Below are 19,201 nucleotides of genomic sequence, written 5' to 3' on the forward strand. Positions count from 1 at the left end.
GCTAGACTCCATTTCCCAGAAACCCCGGTGTCTTGGTGGAGACAGCATTTCCCGGGCGCCCCCTCACGGGGCGGGGCAGTGCGGCGCGGCTCCGGTTCCCGGCGGCCCTCGCGGCAGGTTTCGGGCTTCAGGACAATTCGTGATGGCGGGGGCTGGTTCCGCCGCTGTATCGGGGGCAGGGACCCCGGTGGCGGGGCCCACAGGCCGCGACCTTTTCGCCGAAGGGCTGCTGGAGTTCCTGCGACCCGCTGTGCAGCAGCTCGACTCTCACGTACACGCCGTCAGGTGCCCGGGAGGGAAGTTGGGGGCGGGGCCTGTCTCTCTGGCTTTGTAGGGGCGGGGCCAAGAAAGTGTTCTGGCTGGGAGTGGGCATAAATTTAGGAAACTGATTCGAGGCGGGGAGGACAGGCGGGAAGGCCGCAGGTGGAGGGTTCAGCGGAGGCCGGCTTCTCTCAGTACTTGGTAAATACGTAGGGGAGTTCGTTTCCTGAGCTCCGGTAACTGCCTGACCTTGTAGGCCTTGTACCTCTTTGCAGAGAGAGCCAGGTAGAGCTCCGGGAACAAATTGACAACCTAGCCACAGGTGAGTGAGCATCCCTGTGTACCCGGAATTCTTCAGCCCACTTTCAGGACCTTAGGTTTTTGCCAACCCCTGGGCTGAGTTTCTGTCACTTGCTTCCAGGGCATCAGGGCTGCCAAAGGACTCCTCCTTTCAGGGATGTCTTAAATCTCTAATGGCTGTGGCCCGTTTGGGTGCAAGTGTTTTCCATCCCATTACCAGCCTGCTTTCCCTCAGAACAAGAGATAAGCCGTTAGATCTTAGCTGCACCTTACTTCCATCCCCAGAACTGTGCCGCATAAATGAGGATCAGAAGGTGGCCCTGGATCTTGACCCCTATGTTAAGAAGCTACTTAATGCCCGGCGACGCGTTGTCTTGGTTAACAACATTCTACAGAATGCTCAGGTAAAAGAATATCTTACCAACAGTGATTCTTTGCCCTTTTTTGTAAGTCCTCAACACAGTGAAAGCCACTGTAATTTTAAAATTCTTTGGGGAAAGGGAAATTCACTTCTCCCAGTACTTGAAAAATACCTAGGAAAATTCGTCTCATTCTCACTATTCAGTTGCTGCCATTTACATTCTTGTGTGTGTGTGTGTGACAGTCTCCCTCTGTCACCCAGGCTGGAGTGCGGTGGCTCAATCTCAGCTCGCTGCAACCTCCGCCCCCTGGGCTCAAGCAATTCTGCCTCCGCCTCCCGAGTAACTAGGACTACAAGCGTGCACAACGCCCAGCTAATTTTTGTATTTTTTTGTAGAAGTAGGGTTTCTCCATGTTGCCCAGGCTGGTCTGGAACTCCTGGGCTCAAGTGAGCTTCCCACCTTGGCCACCCGAAGTGCTGAGACTACAGGAGTGAACCACCACACCTGGCTATTTATTTTTATGATACAAGGTCTATCACCCAGGATGGAGTGCAGTGGCATGATAAAGGCTCACTGCAGCCTCTACCTCCCAGGCTCAAGCGATCCATCCACCTCAGCCTCCCAAGTAGCTGGGACTACAGGCATGCACCACCATGTCCAGCTAATTTTTGTATTTTTTCTAGAGACAGGGTTTCACCATGTTACCCAGGCTGGTCCCAAACTCCTGCATGCGAGTGATCCACCTGCCTGGGCCTCCCAAAACGCTGGGATTACAGGCGTGAGCCACTGCACCCGGCCTGCCTGGCCTTTTTTTTTTTTTTTTTAAATAAAAAGACAGGATCGGCTGGGCGCGGTGGCTCTTGCCTGTAATCCCAGCAGTTTGGGAGGCCGAGGTGGACAGGTCACCTGAGGTTGGGAGTTGGAGACCAGCCTGACCAACATAGAGAAACCCCGTCTCTACTAAAAATACAAAATTAGCTGGGCGTGGTAGCGCATGCCTGTAATCCCAGCTACTTGGGAGGCTGAGACAGAAGAATCACTTGAGCCCGGGGGACGGAGGTTGCGGTGAGCTGAGATCGCACCATTGCACTTCAGCCTGGGCAACAAGAGCGAAACTCCGTCTCGGGAAAAAAAAAAAAAAAAAAAAAAGACAGGCTATCACTATGGTGCCCAGGCTGTTCTCAAACTGGGCTCAAGTGATCTTCCTGCCACTTCCTCCTAAATGGTGCTGGGATAGGCATGAGCACCATGCCTGGCCTACATTTTTTTTTTTTTTTGAGATGGAGTTCTCCCTCTGTCACCCAGGCTAGAGTGCAGTGGCACGATCTCATTTCATTGCAACCTCCACCTCCCGGTTTCAAGCGATTCTCCTGCCTCAGATTACAAGCACCCGCCACCATGCCCAGCTAATTTTTTTGTATTTTTTAGTAGAGACGGGTTTTACCATGTTGGTCAGGCTGGTCTTGAACTCCTGACCTCAGGTAATCCACCCGCCTCAGCCTCCCAAAGTGCTGGGATTACAAGTGTGAGCCACCATGCCCGGCCTACATTCTTATATATACTTTTGAAGACTGACTTTGAGGTAGATCACGCCCGGTATTTTTCAGCACCTAGTTCACTTACACTCTCAAGCCTTTCACAGTGGTTAAGATTCCAAACCTTCCTTGTCTTGTAGGAACGACTGAGACGGCTAAACCACAGTGTTGCCAAGGAAACAGCCCGCAGGAGAGCAATGCTGGATTCGGGAATTTACCCCCCTGGCTCCCCAGGCAAATAACAGATGAGCCTATGGACTCAGTAGCACAAGTACTGTTCCCCAGCTGCCTTGTTTCAACAGACATGCAAAGATCCTAGGAGACAGTCCCCATAGACCTTCAGACATTAAAAAGGGAGCCGTACAGTTTGTTTGAAGCACTTCGTCTTACCCATTTATGTAGGGGCCCCAGGAAACCTACACACAGCCAGAATGAGGTTCCCAAAGGACTTACATTAATTATGGCTCTTGCTTCCTTTCACAAATGAGCTGAGGCCTCTACTTTTTTTTTTAAGCTGCATACGTGAGGCTTACCTTCTTCAGGACTAGTTAACCAGAGGGGCTTCCTTTGTATGTTACATGCCTGGTTACATGGGCCTGGACAGCATGTCCTCTACCTGTGACTTCTCATTTTCCTGTTTACACTGGGGATTTGGAGGGGGCAGGCAAAGTCAAAGTGAATGACCTCTGTCCACCCACTTTTTTATTGCACTGGCTTGAATACAGTAGCAGTGTTGATAGAATCATTTTATTCAATAAATACTTAAAATGATATTCTAGTTTACTCTGGTATATGGAAAGGTTCCAGGAGTTTGTCCTTTAATTCAAAGACAGCTTCAAATTGTGATCTGAGTATTTATAATTAAATGACTCAATTATCATTTTCAACAAAAGAGTACACAAAGCCAAAAGCAAAAAAGGTTGCCACATGCAAAAAAACAAACAAACAAAAAACACCAACCAGAAAGACCAAGAGCCCTACTAGGAAGTACTTTAATAGTTTTTCTTAGAAAAAAAAATTTCCAGACACTTAACATTTCACAACATTTCAACAGCAAAGTATTAGTTGAGAGAGGGGTTTTCAGGAGTTGGAGATTATAGAATATTAGGAAGAAATGTTGGTATCCTCCATTATAGATGGATGGCATAGGTCACAAATGGGAGACTGGCAGCTAAGCCAATATCAAAACCCAGTGGAATGACACTTCTATGGAGTTTACTTTTCTTCCTGCTATCTTCCCTATCCCACGGAAATGTCTGTCACCATGTAAAGCCCAGTAGCAGGCAGCTTAGGCTCCAGTCTTCCCCCTTGGGTAGGAAAAGGAGTGAAGGGAATGTCACTCCTGAGTTTCCATGCTTTCTTCTTCCTCTCCTTGAGGTGGTTCTTCTGTATTCTCCTCTTCTTCCTCTCCTTCCTTCTTCTCTGGTGGCTTCTCATAAGCCTTTTCTGAAGGTGTTACTATCACTCCATCCCAGGTAGATATTTCAGAAGCAAGATCTAGGAAAGAGAAAAAGGTGATTTAGACGAGTAGCCCAGCATAAAAGTCATTACTTACACTGTGGAAATATTAAAGACATTTAAGTAGTGTACAGCTTCTCTGTACCAGATTACAATACAAAACCCCTGACCCACAGTGGTCACTCACAGCTGGCATCACCCTCCTGGCCAAGGATCTTCCTAAAGCCACCATGTGAGAGGATTCGGACGAGAGTCTGAGCTGTATAGCAGACCATGTCCTGAAGGAAAGCAAAGTGAGAGTAAGCAAGGAAAATCAAAGGACCTTATTTGAGTAATACCCTTCTGAAAACAGAGATTAAGACAGCTTTTTAAATCTCAGGACCAAAGTCTTTCAGAATCCCCAAATTCCTGACCCGTAAAGACCATATTCCGCTTTGCCTGCTGAGCAGCAGTATTCAAAAGAGTGGGGCAAAACAACTCAGTTCATATCTGTCCCAATACCTGCTGTTCTAGGGTCATGACTGTGTGTACTCTAAAGTTGCCACTCTCACAGGGGTCAGTGATACCCACTGAACCTGGCAGGAACAGTCCTGCAGCCAGAATCTGCAAGCAGCGCCTAGAACACAGGGAGGTATGAGGTATTAAAGGAATGCACAAAATAGTTTACAACCAACCCTAAACCCAAAGCATGCTGTACCTGTATGCAACGTTTAGGGCCAAAGGCTGTCTGGTGGGGTTGTTCATCACAGCATAATGGCCCTGAAAAATAATAAATCCAGTAGGTGTGCCATCAAAATGGCACTTCTGATAACTAGAACTTTATTTTTTAGAGACAGGGCCTCACTTTGTCATCCAGGCTGGAGTGCAGTGGCGCAATCATAGTTCACTGTAACCGCGAACTCCTGGGCTCAAGCAACCCTCCTGACTCAGCCTCCTGAGAAGCTAGGACTATAAGTTCAAGCCACTACAACTGGCTAATTTTTTTTTTTTTCTCTTGTAGAGACAGAGTCTCGCTATTTTGCCCAGGCTGGTCTCAAACTCCTGGCTTCAAGTGATCCTCTGGCCTCAGCCTCCCAAAGTGCTGGGATTACAGGCATCAAACTAAAACCTTAAATGATCACGAGGAAAACTGGTCATTAAGGTCTAAGTCTAGCCAAAATTTTCATGTTCAGAAGCAATTCTGAAATGGCTGCTCACTCATTTCTCTCTACTACCATGATTAAATGGTAGCAGTCATGAGAAGAAAACGGGACACTATAACTCAGTAACTACTCATTTCATTGAATATACAAAAAAAAAAAAAAACTTTGAATTTTTTCTTTTTTTTTAAACAAATGTCTCTGAGTCATGTAAATGTTGAATTTTTATTGGATTACTTGTCTACCAATAAAATTTCTTTTAAGCTTCACCAAATTTCAGACTCTGGTGAATTTCAGAGTTACTACTACTACTACTACTACTACTACTACTACTACTACTAGTAAATAAGGATGATGAGGAACTCCAATTGCCCATCTTTACTTACTAGTAGGTCAAGGATCCAGGGTGTGAGGGGCTCAAAGCCAGGAAAACGAATCCTCAAGTCCTTCAGTAGTCTGATGAGAACTTTAACTCTGAAAGTAATAGTGACCCAAACATTAAAATCAATACGATCATGTATTTCCATGCCTAAGGTAGAATTGAAGCTGACTATGCTATTTCCAGAACTATACATTCTCTGCTTTCTCTAAATCTTAATTTGCTTCCTTAAGGTAAAAATAAAAATCCAGACACGAGGTCACAGGCAAAATAGTTCTGTCAGAGGAAGTATGGGGGTATCCTGCTATTCACTGCAGTTAAAAAGTTTATCTTAATCCAAATGGTTAGAGAGGGACTCACGTGGACTGAGAAGCATTTTCCTCGAACCAGCGGGCATGTCGGATGGCTGCTAAGGCACTCTGCAATACTTTGATATCCACTAAAAAGACAAGCATGATATGCCAGGATGAAACATTTTCATTAAACAAGCTACTCATTACCACTGCTACAGTCTTAAAAACTTGGAAGGAGGGCAGGATAGACGGAGTCTCGCTCTGTTGTCCAGGCTGGATTGCGTACAGTGGCGTGATCTCAGCTCACTGCAACCTCCGCCTCCCGGGTTCGAGCAATTCTCCTGCCTCAGCCTCCTGAGTAGCTGGGATTACAGGTAACCGCCATCATGCCCCACTAATTTTTTATTTTAGTAGAGACGGGGTTTCATCATGTTGGCCAGGATGGTCTCCAACTCCTGACCTCAGGTGATCTGCCTGCCTCAGCCTCCCAAAGTGCTGGGATTACAGGCGTGAGCCACCGCACCCGACCAACTCTGCAATTCTTTAAGCCACCCTGTGTTTCTCATATCAGCAAATCACTTGTCTAAAAATCACTAGAAACATGCAAGATCTGTTTTCTTCAAAAGCCTATCCCCCTCCATAAATATTTTCTCAGTCCTTTTTAAGTCCTCCAAATGCTTTCTTGGTCACCCCATCTGAAAATTCCACTAGCAAGCTGATAAACTATTTCCAAATTACAGAGGGAGAGAGCAAAGTTCAGAATAAACCTAAGTTCTTCAATTCCCAGGAAGCTGCATGTGGAATAGCAACAAGCTAAGTAAACTAAACAGCAACAATACCATGTTTTGAATATCCCCTAAATTTTCCAGCAATGGAAAAAAAAGAACTAACAATGGAGTTCTGGATCCAGTTTTCGAAGATTGGGTGGCACTGTTGTAATGAGAATCTTCACTGTAGCATCAGAAGAACTGATTTCAAAGCCAGTTTCGTTGGTCAGCATGGTTAAAACTGAAAAAACAGAATAAACAAAAACTATAACTCACATTTCCATTAGATGATCAAAGTTAAATCCAGGGTGGGGGGGAACAGGTGGATTTTTTAAAACAGCACAAAGTCCAGAATGAGAATTTAGAATACAGAGCTTTAGAAGGGAGATCAAACAGATCTCCCTTGAACACCTTGAACACCTGAAGCCCCTGCCAAAAACTCCCACAACATAAAACTCTGCATTTACTCTTCCATCTGGTCTGATCTGATTTTGTTGAAAGTGTACTTACAATTACAAGACCTGGTTCCTATGGCTACTAAATACAGAATCAGCAACAAATGCAAACCTTCAGAAGGATCCTGTGCTCTTAGGCTTTCCACGACTTTGTTCCCCAGGGCAGCAACAGCTTCCACTAATTGACAGAAAATGACATAATGTTATAATAATTTATTTGCCTAGACTTTCTATGTATCTCTAAGCTACTTTGCACTCTCATTTCTGTCCCATATCCAAGGCTGAAGCAAGGGTAAGTAATAGAATATATACTTTTATAAGAGAAAGCCAAGGCCTGGGCAGAAAAATTGGAAGACTCAGGGAACAGGACCCCTCCTGTACTCATATCCTCTTTCTACAGCAGGGTTTTTCAGGTCAGTGGCAGTTAATAACATTTTGGGCTAGACAAATCTTTGGGGTGATGGGGATGTAGGATGTTTAACAGCATCCACGGCCTCTATCCTTTTTCTTTTTTTGAGAAAGGGTCTCACTCTTGTCACCCAGGCTGCAGTGCAGTGGCACAATCACAGCTCACTGCAGCCTCAGCCTCCCGGGCTCAAGCAATCCTCTCACCTCAGGCTGCTGCTTTTTTTTTCTTTTTTTCTTATTTTTGAGACAGGGCCTCACTCTGTCACCCAAGCTGAAGTGCACTGGCACGATCTCTGCTAACTCCAACCTCTGCCTCCCAGGTTCAAGCAACTCTCCTGCCTCAGCCTCCCAAGTAGTGGGGATTACAGACGCCCACCACCACGCCTGGCTAATTTTTATATTTTTGGTAGAGACTGGGTTTTGCCACGTTGGCCAGGCTGGTCTTGAACTCCAGGCCTTGGCCTCCCTAAGTGTTGGGATTACAGGCGTGAGCCACTGCACCCGGCCCCACCTCAGGCTTCTGAGTAGCTGGGACCAAAGCATGCACCACCATGCCCAGCTAATTTTTTTCTTTTTGTAGGTACAGGATCTCTCTATGTTATACAGGCTGGTCAAACTCCTGGGGTCAAGTGATCCTCTTGCCTCAGCCTCCCAAAGTGCTGGGAATACAGCCACCACACCTGGCTTCTACCCTTTTTTGATGCCAGTAGCACCCCCTTGTTTTAACAATCAAAAGTACCGCCAGATACTGCCAGATATCCCCTGGGTGGCAAAATTACCTCCAGTTGAGAAACATGGCCGTACAGTAACCTGCTATACATTCTTTCAGACACACACACTCCAGCGTTTGTCCCTTATCACTCATTAAAAAACATTTGTCAGGCAGGGTGCAGTGGCTCACGCCTGTAATCCCAACACTTTGGGAGGCCAAGGCGGGCGGATCACCTGAGGTCAGGAGTTTGAGACCAGACTAGCTAACATGGTGAAACCCCGTCTCTACTAAAAATAGAAAAATTAGCCTGGCATGGTGGCACTTGCCTGTAATCCCAGCTACTTGGGAGGCCAAGGCAGGAAAACAGCTAGAACCCAGGAGGTGGAGGTTGCAGTGAACCGAGATCACGCCATTACACTCCAGCCAGGGCAACAGAGTGAGATCCGTCTCAAAAACAAAAACTAGAAACATTTGTCTTACAAACATCCTTTCTCACAAGAAATTTGAGCTTTCAAGATCCGTAAGGGCTGGGCACAGTGGCTCACGCCTGTAATCCCAGCACTTTGGGAGGCTGAGGTGGGCAGATTGCTTGAGCTCAGGAGTTTGAGACCAGCCCGAGCAACACGGTGAAACCCTGTATCTACAAAAAATACAAAAATTAGCTGGGTGTGGTAGCACACATCTGTAGTCCCAGCTACTCGGGAGGCTAAGGCGGGAAGATCACTTGCTGTAGTGGAGGTCAAGGCTGCAGTGAGCTACAATGGTACCACTGCACTCCAGCCTGGCCAACGGAGGGAGAATTTGTCTCAAAACAAAAAAAGATACCTAAACCCCTAATCCAAGTGCTATGTTCTGTTCCCATGACCAGAAACAGGCACACTCACACGTTGGCAGAATCTTGAGTATCACCACCAGGTCAGCCACATTGTGTCCTGTAGTCATTGTCCCCTTTTTATAGGATCCCACCTGTCGAACTTCTTCAATTTGCTGTTGGAAAAAGGATTTCGGGGAAAAACAATTTAGAAGAAAAAAAGGTGCCTAGGTCCTCCCAGAACTGTTACAACACAGCTACCTGTTACCCAAATTAAGAAGTAGCAGAGGTGAAATCACCCCCAAAACCACCACATGAAAGCCTGATACATCACAGCTAGCATAACAATGATACAAGTCTTGTCCCCAAGATCAGTACTACAAAGAAATTCCACTGTACTTTCTCATTTTAGGCTTGGCTTTGGATAATAGACAACTGAAAATTAAAAGTCAAGAGCCAAGGCAATTTCCACACTACCAAAGCTGCCCTTTCCTAAAACTAAATCATCAAAAACTCACCACTTCAAATGTCCCTGGAGCCACAATCAGATTATCAATCACATTGTTTATTTTTGTCACCAGAGAAAGGATAGATGCCTGAAAAACAGTATGAAACAATACTTGAAAATGAAAAATTATAAGCAATTTCTCAGAATTTGAATATTTTCTCCTAATCCCTTCCATACAAGCTGACTCAATACTGACATAGGGCTTTAAAAACACTTCATTCTGGCCTTGAATATATGGGAAGAGAACAACTCTTTGTCCCCAGTAAAAATAAGAATGCATATGTAATTTGTTTATATATCCACCTGGCTATCTCCACCCACAATGAGAAATAAGGAGAACAATTAAACCCTTTGTGGATTTCAGGCTCTGTTAACACCATTCTTAACCTTACCAACAGTTACTCTTTACCAATACTTTTAACTGCTTTAGAGACATTTCTGGAAGACAGCCAAAAGAACATACCTGTTCAGCAGAATTGGGAGCCAGGTCCTGATTCCTCTTCAGCAAGGCCTCACTGAAGGAAGTTTCATCAGGTGCTGGCTTGACCCGGGGAAAGGCCATTTCACACTAAACCAGAAGTAAACAACTACATTCTATTTGCCGAAGATAATATACAGGAGAGATTGTTTTTTCTATTACTACGACAGAAAAAGGTTAAAAACAGAAAATTCTACACTTGTTTTTACTGCTTAATTTGTTCAATTAGCTGGGCGTGGTGGCTCACACCTGTAATCCCAGCTACTTGGGAGGCTGAGGTGATAGCTGGGCGTGGTGGCTCACACCTGTAATCCCAGCTACTTGGGAGGCTGAGGTGAGAGAATCCCTTGAACACAGGAAGCGAGGTTGCAGTGAGCCAAGATCGCGCCATTGCAACTCCAGCCTGGGCAACAGAGTGAGACCCTGCCTCAAAAAAAAAAATTTATTCAAAGGCCAGGCACAGTGGGTCACGCACACCTGTAATCCCAGCACCGTGGGAGGCTGAGGTGGGCAGATCACTTGAGGTCAGGAGTTCAAGATCAGCCTGGGCAACATGGTGAAACCCCGTCTCTACTAAACAGACATACAAAAATTAGCTGGGCATGGTGGCAGGTGCCTGTAATCCCAACTACTCAGGAGGCTGAGGCAGGAGAATCGTTTGAACCCTGGAGGCAGAGGTCCTGATTCCTCTGCCTCCCAGGTTCAGTGCAGTGAGCCAAGATTGCACCACTGCACTCCAGCCTGGGTGACAGAGTGAGACTGTCTCAAAAAAAATAAAAAGTTCAAACAAGGATAAAAGCTGGAATAGCCATAATTTAAGCTATCACTATCTTTATAGTAACAGATATACCATAAATACAATTACTTGTTCAGAACAAAGATTATAATCATGTTTAATGCCAACAGTAGCCAAGGAATTATTCTCCCCACCATGCTTACACTGTTTCTGTATGTAAAGCAACACACAGTTGACTCAAAACCCCAAATCTTTTCACAAATCACTTTCCCTCCCTATTTCAACCATCTTTTTTTTTTTGTAGTGGTGCCATCTTGGTTCACTGCAACCTCCGCGTCCCGGGTTCAAGCAATTCTCCTGCTTCAGCCTCCCAAGTAGCTGGGATTAGACACATGCCCAGCCAACTTTTTTATTTTTAGTAGAGACGGGGTTTCACCATATTGGCCAGGCTAGTCTCAAACTCCTGACCTTCAGGTAATCCATCTGCCTCGGCCTCCCAAAGTGCTGAGATTACAGGCGTGAGGCACTGTGTCTGCCCTCTTCAACCACCATCTAACTTCATTAACTGGGAGATACTGGGCTCCATTTCAACAGTGACCAGAAAATGTGTATCATTAACCCAAGGTACTCACCAAATAGAAGTCAAATGGGATATGTGGTACAAAGGGCCTGAACCTAAAACATGAAAAACAGCCAAATTATTCCCTAGGTAGGAATCAAGCGAGATGTAAATAACACGCCAACAATTTTGAAAACATGTCAGTCCTCAGAATGAGTGACAAAGTCTCCGGGGAGGGAAAGAATCATTCTTAGCATAGTGGGGCCAAATTCATTTAACAGGAGTGCAGGAAAAGACCACAGTTGGCTCTCGCAAAACCAAGTGACATTAGTCTACTCTAAAACTCCTATTTAGATGACAAGCAGAAACTAACAACCAAGTGCAGAGATGCTAAAAGCTGGTACTCACCCTCCTCCTGGGCCTCCTCTGGAACCAAAGCGCCCACCACGACCACGGCCTCTGTCACCCCTAGAAATGCAGATTTTATTTTGACCTCATTGAAGGAATACCCACCGGCCATATCATCTTAGGTTGGCTACTTTCATCCCTCGGAACCTCCCAACGGTAGGCAAGAGACCCCACTCACACTTACACTTGTCCCCATTCCAAATGGTGCCCAGTTACACCCCCATAACCTCCTCTAAGTTAATCCAACCCCCATCAAGTAATGATGGGGCTCAGTGAGCCCTACACTTAATAACCCATAATCCTGGGCCACACGAATCCTAATACTTCGGAGGCTAAAGATTGCTCATTTCTTCACTAAGGTACACATTTATCGGGCGTGTCCTAATGTCAAGGCCTTCGCACTGAGGATGAATGCGGCTCGCTCCAGCATTCTCAGCCCGGATGACGGGGGCGGGGGAAAGGTGGGGAGCTCCTCCAGGGGCTTGAGGACACCCCCTCATCGCAACCCTTCAGAGACAAAGGTGTCGAACCCCCCTCCCCACTCCTGGGCCCGAACCCCATCCCGGGCCCAAGTTTCCCCGCCTCTACCGGCCTCCATCTCTCCCACTATCCTAGACCAGGAGTTCTCAGGTTTTTGGCCAGCCCCCGGATACATGGCCCTTTCTGATACTCCGACTTCTTTCGGCCCACGTTCACAAAGTTTTCCGTCGAATACCTGAAACCTTTCGACCGCTTCGACCCACTTACCTCATGGCGCCTTAAAACACGAACAATGGAGGCCGCACCAACCGCCCCTTCCTCTGAGTAGCAGACAACTGAAGAGGCGTCTTGCCGGCGTGTCCCAATAAAACCCGGTGCGATTGGCTCCCGCCTTACCCCATCGCTTATGCCTATTGGCTTACTTTGTCAAACCGGGCTTATGAACCAATAAAAAACGCCTACTGTGTCAGGAACTAGCCAATAAGAACTGGTTCTATAGTAATGACGAATTTTTGATCAGACATTAGGTGGCACTAAAGAAGTCAGGACAACGACTACGTAGTGTTCTATAACAATCATGAGAAATTTTAGTTCTAGATAGCAGAGTGGCGCAGCGGAAGCGTGCTGGGCCCATAACCCAGAGGTCGATGGATCGAAACCATCCTCTGCTATCGGAGTTTTTTCATTGCCCTGTACGGCATACGTAATCTACGTTTCTTTAGTGAAGGAAAATATCTTGCCAATTTTCCTACCTCAAAAATGCAACCAATATCAGCTATTTTTGCCACTAGCAGTTGAAGTTGATGGGGAAAAGGGAGTTTAGGCAACTATGAACACTGCACGTCTACAAACTCGAAGCAGGAGAAACAGGTTTTAGATAGGAGAGGAGTATATTGATTGAATTAGTGTGGAAAACATGGTTTTCCATGTCCATGGAAACAGGTGATCCACCCGCCTCAGCTTCCGAAAGTGCTGGGATTACCGGCGTGAGCCACAGCGCCCAGCTTGGTTACATAAATTCTTTAGTGGTGATTTGTGAGATTTTGGTGCACTCATCACCCGAGCAGTATACACTGAACCCAACTTGTAGACTTTTATCCCTCACCTACCTCCCTTCCATAAGTACTTTTTCGATATTTAATTTACTACAGCAGAACGTAAACATCTTAAGTCTAAACGTATTCTGGCCACGTAACCACCATCCAGATTAAAATAAATATTATTAATTTTTAAAAAACAAGCAAACAAAAAGCGGACCGAGTGCGGTGGCTTGTGGCCACCCAGCACTGTGGGAGGCCGAGACGGGTGGATCACCCGAGGTCAGGAGTTCGAGATCAGCCTGGCCAACATGGTGAAACTCCGTCTCTACTAAAAATACAAAAATTAGCCGGCGTGCTGGCGGGCGCCTGTAATTCCAGTTACTCAGGAGGCTGAGGCAGGAGAATCTCTTGAATCCGGGAGGCGGAGGTTGCAGTGAGCTGAGATGGCGCCACTGCACCCCAGCCTGGGCGATAGAGGGAGACTCCGTTTAAAAAAAAAAAAATCTTACTTGAGGTTTGTTGAGCTTCTTGAATCAATGGCTTCAGGTTTGTCGTCCATTTATTAAATTTATCAGCTATTATCTCTTCAAGTATTAGTTTTACCTATTATTTCCCTCGTTCCTGAACTCCAAATAAAGACGGGTTAGACTTTTCCCCCAGTAATCTCTTTGTCTCTTACCCTCTCTTCTATTATTTCATTTTATTTAGACACAGGGTCTCACTCTGTTGCCCAGGCTGGAGTGCAGTGGTGCACCATCATAGCTCACTGCAGCCTCAACCTCCTGGCCTCAAGAGACTCTCCCATTTCGGCCTCCCTAGTAGTTGGGACTACTCAAAGGCACAGGCCACACCACTCCGAGCTAATTTTATTTTTTTTTTTGAGATGGAGTCTCCCAGGCTGCAGTGCAGTGGCGCTATTTCAGCTCACTGCAACCTCCGCCTCCCCGGTTCAAGCGATTCTCCTGCCTCAGCCTCCCGAGTAGCTGGGACTACAGGCGCCCGCCACCACGCCCAGCTAATTTTTTTTTTTTTGTATTTTTAGTAGAGACGGGGTTTCGCGGTGTTAGCGAGGATGGTCACCATCTCTTGATCTAGTGATCTGCCCGCCTCGGCCTCCCAAAGTGCTGGGATTACAGACGTGAGCCACCATGCCCGGCCCTGCCCAGCTAATTTTTGTATTTTTAGTAGACATGGGGTTTCACCATGTTGGCCAGACTGGTCTCAAACTCCTGACCTCAGGTGATCCTCCTGCCTCTGTCTCCTAAAGTGCTGGGATTACAGGTGTGAGCCACCTCCTTTGGCCCCGGGCTTACTTATTTATTTATTTTTGTAGAGATGGGGTACTTTATATGTTGTCAAGGCTAGTCTTTGTTTTGTTTTTGTTTTTGTTTTTGTTTTTGTTTTTGTTTTTGTTTTTTTTGAGACAGAGTTTCGCTCTTGTTGCCCAGGCTGGAGTGCAATGCGTGATCTTGGCTCACAAACTCTGCCTCCCAGGTCCAAGTGATTCTCCTGCCTCAGCCTCCCGAGTAGCTGGGATTACAGGCATGCACCACCATGCCTGGATAATTTTGTATTTTTAGTAGAGACAGGGTTTCTCCATGTTGCTCAAGCTAGTTTCGAACTCCCAACCTCAGGTGATCCACCCACCTCGGCCTCCCAAAGTGCTGGGATTACAGGCATGAGCCACTGCAAAGGCCTTTTACCCTCTCTTTTTATGCTTTTCATTCCTTTTTATCCATTCTTCATTTTAGGTAGTTTCTGCTGTCCTTTCTTCCAATTTATTACTTGCTCCTCAGTTTAGTCTAACATAGTATTAAATCTATCATTTGGTTCTTAATTTTGGTCTTTTAATATTTTGGGTCTGTATTATTATTATTTTTGAGACAGGGTCTCACTCCTGTTGCCCAGGCTGGAGTTCAGTGGCATAAACACAGCTCACTGAAGCCTCAACCTCTTGGGCTCAAGCGATCCTCCTGTGTCAACCTCCAGAGTAGCTCGGACTATAGGCATATGTCACCACACCCAACTAATTTTTTAATTTTTGGTAGAGATAAGGTCTCACTATGTTGCCTAAGCTGGTCTCCAACTCCTGGGCTCTAGTGATCCTCACCTCAGCCTCCCAAAGTTCTGGGATTACAGATGTGAGGCACCAAGCAGGACCTTAGATTTTCTATTTATTCTACTCCCAGGTTGCCCCTAGGAGTGCAGCCTTTTGAGATCCTAGCCCAAAACACGAAGGTGGTTTACCAAGGTTATCACCTTTGGGGACATTTGGACTCCTTTTTTTTTTTTTTTTTTTGAGAGTGAGTTTCCCCCTATTGCCCAGGCTGGAGTGCAGTGGCGCAATCTCGGCTCACTACAACCTCTGCCTCCTGGGTTCAAGTGATTCTCCTGCCTCAGCCTCCCGAGTAGCTGGGCTTACAGGCATGCACCACCACGCCTGGCTAATGTTTGTATTTTTAGTAGAGATGGGGGGTCTCACCATCTTGTGCAGGCTGGACTTGAACTCCTGATCTCATGATCCATCCATCTCAGCCTCCCAAAGTGCTGGGGTTACAGGCATGAGCGACCGTGCCTGGCCCTTTTTCTTTTTTTTAATTTAAAAAAATTGAAATGGGGTCTCGCTCTGTTGCCCAGGCTGGTCTGAAACTCCTAAGCTCAAGCCATCCTCCCGCCTTGGCCTCCTAAAGTGCTGGGATTACAGGTGTGAGCCACCACACCCGGCCTGGACTTCACCGGCCCCACACAACCTATTTTCTGCCACTAATTCCAAATCAGCAAATGACCCCAGGGTAAAATCAGCCCTACTGCTGGGCTTACTTCTCTACTTTCCTGTACTTTCATGCTGTCACACCAATAATTTCTCACTATCTTATTTTTTTAATTATTATTATTTTTTGAGATGAAGTTTTGCTCGAAATGGAGTGAAATGGTACGATCTCAGCTCATTGCAACCTCCGCCTCCTGTGTTCAAGCAATTCTGCCTCCGCCTCCCAAGTAGCTGGGATTACAGGCACCTGCCACCACGCCCGGCTAATTTTTGTATTTTTAGTAGAGACGGGGTTTTGCCACGTTGGCCAGGCTGGTCTCGAACTCCTGACCTTAGGTGATCCACCTGCCTTGGCCTCCCAACGTGCTAGGACTATAGGCGTAAGCCACTGTGCCTGGCCTCACTATCTTATTAGTTCTTTTATTATTATTTATTTATTTATTTATTTATTGTTTTTTTTGAGACAGGGTCTTGCTCTGTTGCCCAGGCTGGAGTGCAGTGGTGTGATCTCGGCTCACTGCAATCTCTGCTTCTGGGTTCAAGTGATTCTTGTGCCTCAGCCTCCCGAGTAGCTGGGATTACAGGTGTGCACCACCAAGCCCGGCTATTTTTTTTTTTTTTTTTTTGAGACAGAGTTTCACTCTTGCTGCCCAGGCTGGAGTGCAGTGGTGGGATCTCGGCTCACTGCAACCTCAACCCCCTGGGTTCAAGCAATTCTGCCTCAGCCTCCCGAGTAGCTGGGATTACAGGCACCTGCCACCACGCTTGGCTAATTTTTTTTTTTTTTTGAAGAGACGGAGTCTTGCTCTGTCACCCAGGCTGGAGTGCAGTGGCGCGATCTCGGCTCACTGCAAGCTCCGCCTCCCAGGTTCGAGCCATTCTCCTGCCTCAGCCTCCTGAATAGCTGGGGCTACAGGCGCCCGCCACTGTGCCCAGCTAATTTTTTGTATTTTTAGTAGAGACAGGGTTTCACCATGTTAGCCAGGATGGTCTCAATCTCCTGACCTTGTGATCCGCCCATCTCGGCCTCCCAAAATGCTGGGATTACAGGCTTGAGCCACTGCGCCCGGCCCAGTTCTTTTATTTTTATTTTTATTTATTTATTGTTTTTTGAAACAGGGTCTTGCTCTGCTGTCCAGGCTGGAATGCAGGTGCGCAATCTTGGCTCACTGAAACCTCTGCCTCCTGGGTTCAAGTGATTCTTGTGCCTCAGCCTCCCTAGTACCTGGGATTACAGGCATGCACCACCAAGCCCGGCCAATTTTTTTTTTTTCTTTGAGACAGAGTTTCACTCTTGTTGCCCAGGCTGGAGTGCAATGGCATGATCTTGGCTCACCGCAACCTCTGCCTCCCAGGTTCAAGCGATTCTCCTGCCTCAGCCTCCTGAGTAGCTGGGATTACAGGCATGCGCCACCATGTCCGGCTAATTTTTGTATTTTTAGTAGAGACAGGGTTTCTCCGTGTTGGTCAAGCTAGTCTCGAATTCTCAACCTAAGGTGATCCACCCGCCTCGGCCTCCCAAAGTGCTAGGATTACAGGCATGAGCCACCGCACCTGGCCTACACCCAGCTAATTTTTGTATTTTTAGTAGAGACGGGGTTTCATCATGAAGGCCAGACTGGTCTTGAACTCCTGGCCTCAAGTGATCAGCCCACTTCCGCCTCCCAAAGTGCTGGGACTACAGGTATGAGACACCATGCCCAGCCAGTTCTTTGATTTTTAAAAAAGTATTTCATCCAACACTTTTAGTTGTCTGTAGCTTTAGGGCTAGTTCACCATTATTGAAAGGAGCTCAATTACTAAACTATATTTCTAGTCCAGTCATTTCTTCTGAGCTCCAGCTCCACTAGTCCGAGGCCTATCAGACACTTCCACTTGATTATCTATAGGCACCTCACATCCAATAAACTAAAAGTATCATCCTTCCAAAACCTTCTTCAGCTTCTCAGCTAATGGGATCAACATCACCTAGATCTGTTATTTGTATAATGTCCTCACTTCCCAAAGTTCAACTGATTCTACTTACAAAACATCTCCCCATCTGCATCTGCTGTCTACCTCTACAATCTCTGGAATCCGCCATCTCCATTACAGGACAAGAACATTATGCCTGTCACACAAAAGCTTTCATAATCTTCCCTCCACTGCCCTCTTCCCTGCCTCTCTTCCTCAGTCATCCTACATGCACACACCTTACATCCTAGATCAGGGCTGAAAACACAAACTCCTACTACAGCCAGGCAGGTAATGCACCTGAGTGAAGCAGGGTGCCTAGGAACCATAATGAACTAGACTCATTTCAAGGAGATAATGGATACTTGCTCTGGTTAATTGCTCATGGAGGGATGCAGGACAATATATTGCCAGCTCTTCCAATATTTTAAGGAAAGTCAGAAATCCAGGTTGGGCCTGGTGGCTCACACATGTTATCCAGGAATTTTGGGAGGCCAATGCAAGAGGATCGCTTGAGCCTAGGAGTTCAAGACCAGCCTGGGCAACATAGGGAGACCTCCATCTTTGAAGGAAAAAAAAAAAAAAGTCAGAAATCCAAATATTCATGTACCATCTTTTTTTTTTTTTTTTTTTTGAGACGGAGTCTTGCTCTGTTGCCCAGGCTGGAGTGCAGTGGCGCAATCTCGGCTCGTTGCAACCTCTGTCTCCCGGATTCAAGCAATTCTCTACCTCAGCCTCCCAAGTAGCTGGGATTACAGGCGGCCGCCACCATGTCTGGCTAATTTTTGTATTTTTAGTAGAGACGGGGTTTCACCATCTTGGCCAGGCTGATCTTGAACTCCTGACCTCATGATCCACCCACCCTGACCTCCCAAAGTGCTGGGATTAGAGGCTTGAGCCACCTTGCCCGGCCCCATCTTATGATATTTAAGTGTGGGGAATTAAATACAATATACATAAAGAGAATGCAAGCCAAAGCATGCCTGCCATCTCAAGTTGGCCTATCGACCACAATTTGCTCTAGATAATAAGAATATTCAAGTCTCCTAAAATTCCATATATAGGAAATGTACTTCAACATTCTGCTCTGTCTACACAGAATACCTTTCTCATCCTTCCATCCTCTTGAATTATTTCTTTTTTGGAGATTTTCTGGCCCCAATCCAAGCAGAATGAATAGCCCTCATCTGAGTCCTTTAGCAATTTATCCATGTCTCCCCTGTAGTGCTTAATGCATGTTGCATTACGGTTATTTGTCCCAAATGGAGCTCCTCAAAGGCACGGACTATATATATTCATCTTTATGCCCTCGGCACCTAGTGGGTGCTTAATGCACCGAAGGTTCTCTGGAAATGTTTGCTGACCTGAAGTTTGGTGATCTTATGTCCT

At 46.3% G+C, this 19,201-nt stretch overlaps 2 protein-coding genes and 1 non-coding gene across 6 annotated transcripts, besides 4 other annotated features; 2 read left to right on the forward strand and 1 right to left on the reverse strand.

The window, feature by feature from the left end:
* SNAPIN (SNAP associated protein) lies at positions 53–3,251 on the forward strand. Of its 3 annotated transcripts, NM_012437.6 has the most exons (4): positions 102–285; positions 537–583; positions 847–965; positions 2,599–3,251. In NM_012437.6, the coding sequence occupies exons 1-4, from the start codon at positions 143–145 to the stop codon at positions 2,698–2,700; spliced, it is 411 nt and encodes a 136-aa protein (NP_036569.1). In that variant the 5' UTR covers positions 102–142; the 3' UTR covers positions 2,701–3,251. The 3 variants fall into 3 exon arrangements, 1 of the variants encoding a protein (NP_036569.1); NR_052019.1 differs by lacking the exon at positions 537–583 and having other exon boundaries at positions 53–285; NR_052020.1 differs by lacking the exon at positions 537–583 and having other exon boundaries at positions 53–271.
* Positions 3,187–12,392, reverse strand: ILF2 (interleukin enhancer binding factor 2). 2 transcript variants are annotated; one of them, NM_004515.4, is made up of 14 exons: positions 12,317–12,392; positions 11,570–11,629; positions 11,235–11,277; positions 9,852–9,956; positions 9,399–9,476; positions 8,954–9,056; positions 7,062–7,127; positions 6,619–6,735; positions 5,795–5,873; positions 5,442–5,529; positions 4,614–4,675; positions 4,418–4,532; positions 4,104–4,194; positions 3,187–3,955 (listed from the first exon to the last, which is right to left on the reverse strand). In NM_004515.4, exons 1-14 carry the CDS (start codon positions 12,319–12,321, stop codon positions 3,795–3,797), a joined length of 1,173 nt encoding a protein of 390 aa, NP_004506.2. In that variant the 5' UTR covers positions 12,322–12,392; the 3' UTR covers positions 3,187–3,794. The 2 variants fall into 2 exon arrangements, with proteins under 2 accessions (NP_004506.2, NP_001254738.1); NM_001267809.2 differs by having other exon boundaries at positions 9,852–9,975.
* Positions 12,412–12,791: a silencer, noted in NCBI's record as "silent region_1343". NCBI's record gives its function as "represses an Ori minimal core promoter by ATAC-STARR-seq in GM12878 lymphoblastoid cells {active_cell/tissue: GM12878}" and the evidence as "EXISTENCE:reporter gene assay evidence [ECO:0000049][PMID:35858748]".
* TRX-CAT1-1 (tRNA-iMet (anticodon CAT) 1-1) lies at positions 12,649–12,720 on the forward strand. Its single transcript has one exon. It is a non-coding gene; the product is annotated as a tRNA-Met (tRNA).
* Positions 12,832–12,971: an enhancer, noted in NCBI's record as "active region_1752". NCBI's record gives its function as "activates an Ori minimal core promoter by ATAC-STARR-seq in GM12878 lymphoblastoid cells {active_cell/tissue: GM12878}" and the evidence as "EXISTENCE:reporter gene assay evidence [ECO:0000049][PMID:35858748]".
* Positions 13,522–13,601: an enhancer, noted in NCBI's record as "active region_1753". NCBI's record gives its function as "activates an Ori minimal core promoter by ATAC-STARR-seq in GM12878 lymphoblastoid cells {active_cell/tissue: GM12878}" and the evidence as "EXISTENCE:reporter gene assay evidence [ECO:0000049][PMID:35858748]".
* Positions 13,612–13,661: an enhancer, noted in NCBI's record as "active region_1754". NCBI's record gives its function as "activates an Ori minimal core promoter by ATAC-STARR-seq in GM12878 lymphoblastoid cells {active_cell/tissue: GM12878}" and the evidence as "EXISTENCE:reporter gene assay evidence [ECO:0000049][PMID:35858748]".

Source organism: Homo sapiens, chromosome 1 (assembly GCF_000001405.40).
Source record: "Homo sapiens chromosome 1, GRCh38.p14 Primary Assembly".
In the NCBI taxonomy this organism is placed as follows: domain Eukaryota; kingdom Metazoa; phylum Chordata; class Mammalia; order Primates; family Hominidae; genus Homo; species Homo sapiens.